Source organism: Homo sapiens, chromosome 10 (genome assembly GCF_000001405.40).
Source record: "Homo sapiens chromosome 10, GRCh38.p14 Primary Assembly".
Classification (NCBI taxonomy): Eukaryota; Metazoa; Chordata; class Mammalia; order Primates; family Hominidae; genus Homo; species Homo sapiens.
Window position 1 is genome coordinate 25,034,389 of NC_000010.11, and position 12,582 is coordinate 25,046,970.

The 12,582-nt window shown below is 36.7% G+C and overlaps 1 protein-coding gene across 1 annotated transcript in view, besides 1 other annotated feature; it reads right to left on the bottom strand.

Moving 5' to 3' along the window:
• The window catches only part of ENKUR (enkurin, TRPC channel interacting protein), an 80,343-nt gene that overhangs the window by 52,404 nt on the left and 15,357 nt on the right, over positions 1-12,582 (bottom strand). The gene's annotated exons all lie outside the window — the stretch shown is intronic.
• Positions 2,020-2,169: an enhancer, noted in NCBI's record as "active region_3162". NCBI's record gives its function as "activates an Ori minimal core promoter by ATAC-STARR-seq in GM12878 lymphoblastoid cells {active_cell/tissue: GM12878}" and the evidence as "EXISTENCE:reporter gene assay evidence [ECO:0000049][PMID:35858748]".

Consider the following 12,582-nt stretch of genomic DNA (forward strand, 5'->3'; position numbering starts at 1 on the left):
TCTAGTCTAACAAAAAAGATGTGAAAAAAATAGTATTTCTACTGGGTTGAGTGGCCTAATCTGAATGATTCCGTTTCCCAATTTGACAAAATTTAAGATTATCTATATTTGTTTTAAATGTTATAAAGCTCAAGTAGCAGAAGTTTTCAGGAAATAATTTTACTTGCCCTCGATATTACCTTTTTTCTGGAACCATCTTTCCAATTTGCTTGAGATTTTAAACGTAATTGGTTGACATTATAGTTAAACAACTGCCAAGTCAACATGGGTCATTACCAGAAAATAACACCATTTCTTGTAAATTCCACATATGTGTAGGATTCTTCTCTATTAAAGTAATGTAATGTAATCCTAACAGATCATTACAGCTTATTTTTTCACAGTATTCTGTATATTTTCCAGAAAAAGAGTCATCAGTTCAAGAGATACCCCCTTTTCCCTTAAATGCTGTTGCCTACTATGAAGAAACACAGAACATCTTTCTCTTGAGAAAAGTTGAGTATAACAATATTTTACTGGCATCAGAAAGAAGAAAAATATTAGTTTAAATCAGGTCAAGAGCATAAAATTTATTTGGCTGGCCAAAAGCAGTACCAAGATAAAATTTTATTTTAGGGAGAAAACAATCAAAGCTAAAATATCCTTTGAAATATAAAGGTCATTCTTGTCAAAGAAAAAAAATATAGGAGCTTTATAACTTTGAAAACGGTTACACATATATTATTGGATTTTATTTTCCCAAGACCTCAGAAAGGTGACAGTGCCAAGTGAATGGTCTAGAAGTAACTTTTTGTCCATGAACTCAGTTGGTCAAACTTAAGACCTCCTCACCTGCTAATCATGCTTGTAAGAGAATAATGCACAAGATAAGATGTAAGTTTATCAAGCGGGCACAGTGGCTCATGCCTGTAATTCCAGTACGTGGGGAGACTGAGGCGAGTGGATCACCTGAGGTCAGGAGTTCAAGACCAGCATGGCCAACATGGAAAAACCCTGTCTCTACTAAAACTACAAAAATTAGCTGGGCGTGGTGGTGCACACCTGTAGTCCCAGCTACTTGGGAGGCTGAGGCAGGAGAATCGCTTGAATCCAGGAGGTGGAGGTTGCAGTGAGCTGAGATTGCACCATTGCACTCCAGCCTGGGCAACAAGAGCTAAACTCTGTCTCAAGGAAAAAAAAAAAAAGTGTAAATTTATTGATTTATAATGGTTGCTCTATTTTTCCAGTGACCAGAGATTTGGTCTTCTCCCTCCAGTATTCTTCATTTTTTCTATGATGGTATTTAGGAAATGGAATGAACAGTCAGTAATTTATCTGATGAATACAAAGATAAACCAAAAAGATAAAAATAATTTTAAGGGACATTTCACTCACAATGATTGGTATCTGCCTCACAATAAAGAATGCCTCTTTAATGAACAGAATATTCTTATCTGTTTGACTCAAGGTCATTCTTCTCTGGACAGCGTTGAACATACACTGCTAAATCTTGATCTTTGGGCGTCAGTTCACTGCACTTAAAGATCACACACTTTGGGTGAACAAGTTTCTTTTTCATATTTGTTACAAAACAAAAAAGTTATAGCCTTGGTCGTTATGAAGCTTATGGAGACCTTAGATAAGTAATTCAACTTATTAGAATATTGTGTGATAAATACTATAATCAGGACCAGACAGAAACATAGCATGGCCTGAGAAAGCTAATTAGGTATTTGGTTTCTGATATGGTTTGGCTGTGTCCCCACCCAAATCTCATCTTGAATTTTAGCTCACATAGTTCCCACATGTTGTAGGAGGGACCTGGTGGGAGATAATTGAATCATGGGGGTGCTTTTCTGCATACTGTTCTCATGGTAGTAATAAGTCTCACGAGATCTGATGGTTTTATAAGGGGAAACCCATTTTGCTTGGTCCTCATTCTCTCATCTGCTGTCATGTAAGACATGCCTTTCACCTTCTGCCAGAATTATGAGGCTTCCCAAGCCACGTGGAACTGTGAGTCCATTAAACCTCATTTTCTTTAAAAATTACCCGATCTTGGGTATGTCTTTATCAGCAGCGTGAAAATGGACTAATACAGTTCCCTTTCAAACAGATGTTTTTAAAGTATTTGTTCCACTTTTCTTTGGGGAAAGATCACAGTTTTGCACAGACTACTGCACCACAAGCACGGTGCAGTGAAGGATGAGGAAGGATGTCTGCTAGCAGAGTATTGTTCTAAGCAGCTCAGCTCTGACTTCAAGCTTGCACACCTAACTAGCAGAACAAAAACAGAAACTAACCAAACTTACCCTCTTTGAAAGGTATTTTAAAAGTGATTTATTACTATTCAAGCATATTCCTGGGTCATTTTAGCCTTCTCATTCCTAGAAGCTTGTCACAGTAATCTCCCTACCACATAGAGTATTGATCTGCAACATTCCTAATGACGTTTACATTTTCTTGAGGATTGGAGCCCTGGACAATTGCCTGCTGGTCCTTTCCTAATCCCCTTCAGGCTATGATGGTGTTTTACACCTGAGGCTATGGGAGGGGAGCCAAGAAAAGAAACATCAAAATCACACTGTGAGATTAAAGAAGGCAGGCATTCTGAGGAAACAATCCCGTGCAAGCCAAAATTTAAAGCCAAGTGACAGTTACACCGGCAAATTGGTGGCTGGAGGAGAGAGCATGGCATGGGGCATGTGCTGTTCACTTTGCCTGGAACAAAGAGTGCCTGTATGGAGTTGTGAAGATGAAGCTAGAAAATCAAGCAGGATCCATGAGTGTACACTTTTCTGAAAGCTATGAGGTGTCACTGAAGGATTTTAAGTAGAATGCCATAATCCTCTTTATTTTAGAAAGATCATTTTTGCAACTTAGTAGTGATGGAGAAATTAAGACTCATGGGCCTGAGACCAATTAGGAGGACATAGCACGGACTTAAGAGGTGGAACCAGAAAGCAGTTGGCAGGTTCAAGAAATATTTAAAAAGTAGCTTTATAGGATTTGGTGACAAATTAGATGAGAAAGGCATGCAGAGAAATTCTGGCTTGGAAAATGAAGAACAGAGTAGGGAGAAGATATTGACTGTTCTGCATGTCTAGCTCATCAAACATTTAATTTTCACTTTTATTTCCCATTGCATCTTAAAATAAATGATTTCCAAACCCTCTTCCAGGAAGAGAAAGTAAAATGACTCAATTACTAATGAAAGCATCTGGAAATTTGGAGAACTTTTACCTCCAAACATGAATTTCTATTTCTGCCCCTAACTAACTTCTAAAGCTGTTTTGCTCTTCTTTCCTTTTGTCTTTCCTTATCATTTCCTTAAAATGACCTCCTAGATGACCTCCTAGATCCTGCTTGTTTACTTTAAACATTTTCAAGTTGGAATTCAGGATTGACTTCACTTCATTGTTCCCTGAGCAGCTGCCATCCCTGTTCATTTCAGCTTTAGCATTTATATGCCGTTTATGACTCCTCTCTGGTTAACTTGCTAAGATCCTGAATTTCTTTCTCATCGTTATCATTTTCACAATTTAATCATAAATTTCTTTAAAAGGGTAAATTCTCAGTTAATTGACTTCTTGTTATGCTTCATTCTGATAACTAGCAGTAAAATAGATCCCACAATAAACCACTGAATTTTAAGCTTATTGGGCAGCCTTAATGGAACATTTTAATTTGCAGTCACTTTCTAAATTACATACTATAATACGATACTTCCAGTTCTCTCTAGGTACCATTTTTCTTCAATATCTATTCTCAATTGTCTTGTGAATTGTTTTGTTTATTATAGGATAGGGTATCATAGGAAATGATGGTTTCCTTTTAAAAGGAACTGTTGTTTGACTCTTTTGGTAATCAAGAAAAGTGACCAAAGTCTGATAACTGTCTGAAAGATTTCCGTGAAATTTACACTTTAAGTAGACATGGAACTGTGTTATGTCCTCACTTTCCTACCTGTGTTACAGGGCTGAGTGTGCCTGTCTGTCGTATCTCCACTTATGATAATACATGAACTAAGCATTAGACATTTGTTTTACTTTTAGGAGGCATAGGCTTACAATTTAACTTCATTATAGTGACAGCAAGCATCCTTCTTGTCTATACAGACATCTGTTTATAACTCTATAAAATTGATATATGCCCTTTATGAGGATCTAATAAAATAACGTGTGTAAGGAGGGTTTTAAAGGATACATCATATTATTCTTATGAGTGCTGTTGCTATTACTGTCAAATTTGGAGAGAACTCATCTTAGGAAATCTGTTATCTCTTTAATAATGGCAGCTTCCTTTTCTGGCAATGATTTTAATGTAACCAGGAAGAATCCCTACAACCCTGTTTTAGGTTGATGTCTGAAATGAACGCTGGTTATCAGCACCTGAACCGAATGGGAGAATATGATTTTAAATGCATACTATGTTTTTAAATGAATGGTAAAAGGTATCTGTTTCTCATAATGTTAACTATGTGAAATGACCTGAAGTTGCTTATTTAGGACTTGGAATGAGAAAGATTCAATAGTTGTCAAAGGTTGTGTGAGTTATTTAAATAAAAATGTGTACAGTGAGAATTACTGAGATCACCTTGATAATTTGTTGTATGGTAGATGTCTCTATATTGAACTCAAAATTTTTACTGCCATGAATTATTAGAGTCATTTTAGCAGAACATTGTTTTAAATTATTTGCCCTGTTACTGTGGATTTTCAAATATACCTTTGTAAAATGAATTTAAGTCTACATTACAATTTTAAGTGTCAGAATGACAAAGCTTTAAACATTTTTTTTCTTATAATAGGATCTTGGTGACTGATATCCACTTGGAAATCAAATTCATTAAGCTTTATTTGAATACCTCAATTCAGTCTTTTCAGTAGGGACAGTTTTGCTGTTGTACTGTCATTCAAAATGATTGCTGGGCCAGGCACAGTGGCTCACACCTGTAATCACAGCAGCTTGGGAGACTGAGGCAGGAGGATCGCTTGAGCCCAGGAGTTTGAGAGCAGCCTGGGCAACATGGCAGTACCCCATCTCTACAAAAAATACAAAAATTAGCAGGGTGTGGTGGTGCATGCCTGTACTCCTAGCTACTCTGGAGACTGAGCAGAGAGAATCACTTGAGCCCGAGAGGTGGAGGTTGCAGTGAGCAGAGATTGTGCCACTGCATTCCAACCTGGGGGACAGAGTGAGACCCTTGTTTCAAAAAAAGCAAAGGTCACTAAGTGGTCATTGCTTATTCTGACATTGCTTATTATCTAGCTATGTGCAGTGCATACCTTGTTAAGATTTTCAACTGAAAGTATTATTTCAGTCATCTACTGCTGCATGACTATCACAAAACAGTGGCTTAAAGCAACCACCATTTGTTGATGACCCTGTGGATCAGGAATCTATGCAGAACTCAGTGTAGAAGGCTTATCTTTTTGTTCCACATGGTTTCAGCCAGGAAAGCTCAACTGGAGCTGGAGGATCCAAAATAGCATGGGTGCAGCACACCAACATGGCACATGTATACATATGTAACAAACCTGCACATGTACCCTAGAACTTAAAGTATTAAAAAAAAAAAAAAAAAAGTAGCTTCACTCTGGAGTCTGGGCCTTGGTGCTGGCTGCTGGCCGTGGTACGTACTCTGTTCTTCTCTGTGTGTCTGTCCTCTCTCTTTTATGGTCTCCCATCCTCAGGGGCCTCTCTCCTCACTTGGCTTCTCTTTCCAGTAGAGTAGCTTTTACATAATTGCTGGGTCCCAAAAGCAGAAGCAGAAGCTACAAGGCTGCTTAAGGTATAGGCTCAAAAATCCCAGAACATCATTTCTGCTGCATTCTAGCGGTCAAAGCAAGCTGCAAGGCCAGCTAGATTCAAGGTGTGGGGAAACAGATTTCACTCCTTGATAGAAGGAGTGGTGAAGTCACATGACAAAGGTGTGTGGACTAGGGAGGTATGATTCATTGATGCCACTTTAAACACTCTACCACAGGTATATTAAATGGGATTTTTTTTTTTTTTTTTTGAGACCGAGTCTCGCTCTCTCCCAGGCTGGAGTGCCAGTGGCGTGATCTTGGCTTACTGCAAGCTCCGCCTCCCAGGTTCACGCCATTCTCCTGCCTCAGCCTCCCTAGTAGCTGGGACTACAGGCGCCTGCCACCACGCCCGGCTAACTTTTTTTGTATTATCAGTAGAAACGGTTTCACCGTGTTAGCCAGGATGGTCTCGATCTCCTGACCGCGTGATCCACCCACCTCGGCCTCCCAAAGTGCTGGGATTACAGGCGTGAGCCACAGCGCCTGGCCCTAAATGGGCTTTTCAAGAGGAACTCACTTCAATCAAGAAGACATGGCTTTTTGGTCACGATTTGAGAATTTTAACACTAAGATGAAATAATGTTGAAAAGAATACTAATTTCTGAACCTAAAAGTAGTTTGACCATTTGGTTTTCCTACTTAGACCAAGTTGGTTTATTGTCTTTCTTACCTTAATGAGAACTTGCTGTGTAAATTCAGAAACATACATAAGTGCATCCTTTTAATAGTCTGCTGTTAACACTTAACAAGATTGTGGACATCTTTATATGTCAATAAATATATGAGTAAGATGTGTAATGGCTGCCTAGTATTTATATAGGTACACAATAATATATTGAACCCTTCCTCCAAAAAATGTTTATTATTTACAGTTTTTGCTGTTTTAGACAACACTGTAAATAGCATCCTATGTGTACATTTTAGTCACTTTTTTTTCATTTATTCACGACCAATTCCTAGCAGTGGAATTCTAAGATAAAGGGCGTGAATGTTTAAAATTTTTCATGCTGCCCTTCTGAAAGTAATTTCTTCCACTGTCTTCTGGTTTCTATGATTTGGATGAGAAACTGCAGTGATTCAGATCATTGTTTCCTTGTATGTCCTGTGTCTTTTTTTCCTAGCTGTTTTCAAGGGCTGTTTTCTGTGCCTTCTTTTCAGCAGTTAAATTTTCATATGTCTAGCCATGCCCTTCTTTGAATTTATCCTGTTTGGAGTTTGCTAAGCTTCTTGAATCTACACATTTATGTCTTTCACCAAATATTGGAAAGCTTTTGGCCAATATGTCTTCAAATATTTTTTGTGTCTCAATCTCTTTCTCTTATCTTTCTAGAATTCTAGTTACATATATACTAGATGTTTTCATGTTGTCAAACAGGTCCTGAGGCTTTGTTAATTTTTTCTCTGTTATTTTGTTTTACAGTCTTTTTCTCTGTGTTCTTCACATTAGATAATTTTGATGGATCTATTGTCAAGTTTACTGACTTATTCCTCTGTCATCCCCATTCTTATGAGCTCACCCAGTGATTTTCTTATGTCAGTTATTACCTTTTTCAGTTCTAAATCTCCCATTTGGTTCTTTTCATTGTTTTTATTTGTCTGCTGAGATTTTCCATTTTTTGAGAGACAGTCTATAAGATAACTGGCTTGTATTATTAAAAAATGCCAGGGTCATGAAAGACACAAAAGACTATGGAACTATTTCAGATTAAAGGAAACAAAAAATGCATGACAAACTAAATGAAACTTGTGATCCCGAATTGAACCCTGGACCAGACATTAGTTTTCTTTTGATAAAAAGAAAATTAGTAAGTTGATTGACAAAATTGAATGTCTGTAGTTTAGATAGGAGTATTATATCAAGGTTAATTTTTCTAAGTTTGATAACTGTGATACAGTTATGTAAGAGAAAGCCCTGGTTATTAGGAAACTCACACTGAAATTTTTGAAAGTAAAGAGGCATTGTATCTGCAACTTACTCTGAAATGTTTCTGAAAAAAATTATTTTATGTACATTTATAGGGAGAAAGAGAGAAAGATTAAAGCTAGATGAACAGCATATAGAAATTTTCTGTACTATCTTTGGAAAGATTTTTTTTTTTTGAGTCAGAGTCTCAAAAAAAAAAAAATCTTTTGAAAGATAGTATGTCACCCAGGCTGGAGTACAATGGCATGATCTCAGCATCAGCTCACTGCAACCTCCGCCTCCCGGGTTCAAGCAATTCTCCTGCCTCAGCCTCCCGAGTAGCTGGGATTACAGGCACCCACCACCACACCCGGCTAAATTTTGTATTTTTAGGAGAGACGGGGTTTCACCATGTCGGCTAGGCTGGTCTCAAACTTCTGACCTCAGGTGATCCACCCGCCTTGGCCTCCCAAATTGCTGAGATTACAGATGTGAGCCACCATGCCTGGCCCTGAAAAAATTTTTAAGTCAGAAATTAGTTCAAAATATAAAGTTAAAAAAATCCTCAAGATCATGAAAATTAAGAAATGACCTGAAAACTATACAAAATGGAAGAGCACCTGGGCCAGGTGTGGTGGCTTATGCCCATAATCCCAGCGTTTTGGGAAGTTGGGGGTGGGAGGATTGCTTAAGCCCAGGAGTTCAAGGCTGCAGTGACTTATGAGCACACTACTCTAGTGTGGGTGACAGAGTGAGACTGTCTCAAAAAAAAAAAATTAAAAATTAAAAGGTGGAAGAAATGTAAATGCAGTGCATGATCTGAACTTAATCCTAAACCTATTTGGGACAATATTAGGACAATCAGCAAAATTTGAGAGAAATATTTGGATTAGGTGGTAATAATAGATCACTGTTAATTTACTGATTTTAAAGATTATGTTACTGTTATATGTGAGAGCGGCATTATGTTTCAGAAATAAACATTGAAGTATTAAGGGAGAACAAGGCACCAAAATTAGGTTTGAAAATTTGAGATGAAATATGGAGAAAAGGAATATAATTCCACCACATTAATGTAATTGCCATTACCATCTTTTCTCCCCTTTCTACACAGAATAAAAGGAAGTGCTTTTAGTTTTAGTTAACAATAAAACCACTCTGAAAGTTTTCTACTCTGGGATTTCTCAAAGCCACTGAAATAAAATTATAAGAAGATGTAATGGAATAAATTTAAAATATTGTTAGTTATGCATGTTTTTATATCAATAGAATTGTGTGAAAGCTTTTTATGTTCTAATTATAATTAATTTTTAATTGTTGAATCTCTAATTAAAAATTAGTCATCATTTATACCTTTTCCCATCCTTGTTCCTGTGTATATAACATCTTTCCCCCAGTATATAATATCTTTTTATATTGGCTACTTTCAAGAGTCTCTCTTTGTCTTTACTTTTTAGAAGTGTGGCCATAATATGCCTATGAATTTTTTTTTAAAGTGTATCCTGATTTGGGTTAGCTGAGCTTCCTGGATCTACAGGCTAATGTTTTGGATCAAATTTGGAGGTTTTTCAGACACTATTTTTTCAAATAATTTTTCTTTTCGATTCTCTTCTGTTCTACTGGGACTTCAGTTACATGTGCATCAGACCATTTGGCATTGTTCTAAGGTTCTCAAGGCTCTGTTCTTTTTCTCCAGTCTTTTTCCTTTGAGCTCCAATTTAGATTACTTTCTTTGACTAGTCTTTAGTTAACTGATTCTTTCTTCTGTTGTTATTAATCACATCTGACGAAATTTTAATTTCAGATATTCTTTTTTTTTTTTTTAGTTCTAGGATTTCTGTTTGATTCTTTTTTATACTTCCCACATTCCTTGAATATCCATACCCATTGCAGTCCCATTTCCCTATAGATTTAAAAACATATTTATTAGAGTTATTTTAAAGTCTTGGTCTACTATTCAATGTCTGGATCATCTGTAAGACTGTTTCTATTGATTGATTATTCTCTTAACTGTGGGTCACATTCTTCTGTTTCTTTTCAGACCTACTAAGTTTTTATTGTATAGCTCACATCATGGCTAAATCATTGTAAAGGTTCTGAATTCTATTATCTTCTCTAAAAGAATGTTAAGTTCCATTCTAGCAGGCTGTTAAATTTCTTGCATATAACTTTGAATTTGTGAATGTTTGGTTTTAGGCTTTATTAGGGTAGGTATATTTCAGTTTTTCTCTGAGTTCTAAGGCAAATACTTTAGAACTGGGATGTAGATTTTAGTCCTAAAGCATGACCCTTCTTAGGGTAGGTGTTTGTTTGTTTGTTTGTTTTTTCTTAGAGATAGCGTTTCACTCGGTCACCCAGGCTGGAGTGCAATGGCACAGTCTCAGCTCACTGCAACCTCAACCTCCTGAGTTCAAGTGATCCTCCTGCCTCAGCCTCCCAAGCAGCTGGTACTACAGGCACGTGTCACCATGCCTGGCTAATTTTTTCATATTTTGTAGAGACATAGTCTCGCTATGTTGCCCAGGCTGGTCTTGAATTCCTGGCCTCAAGCAATCCTTCTGCCTTGGCCTCCCAAAGTGCTGGGATTACAGGCATGAGCCACCATGCTCTGTTGGGTCAGGTCTTAAACTCCCTTTGTCTTTCCTGCAATATGCAGATGCTAAAAGCTCTGCTCAGTTCGTTCTTTCCAGTTTCTAGTTATTGTTTTCCCTTGAGTATCCTTGGAGTCTTGCCTTGTACATGCTCCATTCAAGAATCAGCCAAGTATTTAAAGGTAATTTATGCCCAGACTTTTGGGGCTTATCCCTACTGTGGATTTCTCCCTTTATGGAATTTCTCTCCTCAATTTCTGACCACTTTGGCAGCTCCTGACTCCCTCTCTGATGCCTCAGCTCAGCAAAGTAGCTGCTTTTCACTTACACTTTATCCATTTATGCCTTACCATCTGAGGAATGCTCTCAGGGAAAAGATGAATACATATGGACCTCATGCAATGTAGTTGCCCTATTTCAAGGGTTGAAATCCTTTTCATTTTTGCCGACTTTTATTCATGGTCCATTACCTTTAAGAGGCTGTTTGATTTATTTTTATTTTGTCTAGAGTTCATAATTTATATTTTTAAGTGGGTTAGTCTGATAAAAGTTGCTTTACCTTATCTGAAGCTGGTAGAATGGGCAAGATGAGACCAGAACCAGTTAATTTCTTCCAGTGTATTCTTATTATATGACCCATACTGCCCTATGCTTTTCTTTTGAGGGTCAGATTTCTATTCCTTGCCAAGTTATGAAAAAGTAAGAGGATAATATGATATTAACAAATGATTTTAAAAATACAAGCTGTAGTAGTGAGAAAAATAATGAGTTTCTTTCTATAAAAAAAGAGGAATTCTCCAAGAAATGAAACAGCTCCAAATATACATGAAATATATTAGCATAAAAATATAAACATCTAAGTTTTAGTCACATAAGATCTGCAGGCTAACCATCCCTTGAAAAGTAGTTCTCTGTATTTCAGAAGCTATTTTCTGACTTTTAAATTTGAAACTGAGACATTGTTGACTAATAAATAAGAGACAAAAGAATCCCACTTCTCTTCTGCTTATAATAAGGCAATACAAAAAAAGTTAAAAGCCATGAAAAGTTATAGTGAGATTTTAATATTTTATGAAACAAGATTATAAACTTGTTTATAAAACAAAAAACTGTTCAAGCATCCTGAAATGCAAGCTTATGGTGACACTTAAGGGCAGAACCAGTTGTCCTATCAAGTTGAAGTAACTGTATGCAGCAATTCTACCAAAGGTGTCTTCAGAGCAAAAATAAAAGGATATATAGAGAGATATAAATACAGACATAAATATGACTGATAGAATTCTGATCAATGAACCTGATTTCATAGTTCAAATATAATTTCCAGAAATTATTTAAGTCATTCTTTGGTTTAACATTGATTAAAATCAAAATGTTCTCATTATCCTTTTTGTCAATGGTAACAGGATTGAAAGAAAAACCAAACTGCAAGAGGATATATAGAGCAAAGCTTAGCAAATGCTATGAGAGGTTTATTAATTATTATAACTCAATCTGGCTGTTTTCTTCACTGAGGAGATGGAATATCTCCTGGTGGAACAATCAGAATGATACTAGAAATTCTGTCTTTGCAAGGCCAAAATGAGCTATTAAATGCTACGTTCTATCAAGTTCAGAATTAATCTCATGGATTAAAAAAAGTTCACAACCAGTAGTACCTTCAGCCTTTTGATGAACGCATTATGTCAATCATCAGAACTATTGCCTTCATTTTCTCCTGGGGGTAGTAAGCCCTAATTCCATAGTTTAATTTTTTTCTTGCATCTGATAATCTCTACAATACCCTAGAGATGAAAAACTTTCCATACGCTTTAAAGAAGCAGCTCTACAGCCAGATCACCTGTGTGCATCTGCGTCCTGGCTTTATCACCAGCGTCAAGACCATGGGCAAGTGATTTAATCTCTCTGTGCCTTTGTTTCTTCATCTAGAACATAAGGATAAAAATACCTGCTTTGCTGGTTTGTGAGGATGACAGGAGATAGTGCATATAAAGCTCTATAATTTTTCACTTTCTACAAAATCATGGCCCTTTCATAGAATGAGCCTAAAATAATCTTGTTTCATAAAATATTAAAATCTCACTATAACTTTTCATGAACAGATTGACTTTTTTTCACCAACCTCTGCTGTTGTATCCCAGCCAAAGAGTTTATTTACTAAAGCACCACAAGGGCTTTGTTGAATGGTGGCTGTACTTGAAAGTAAGCCCTCTGTGTTAATTTCCATCCTCTAGAAATTCAGGATGTTTCAGTAGAAGCTATTTTATTTTATTTAGGTGGAAAAAGTGAGAATTTGTCA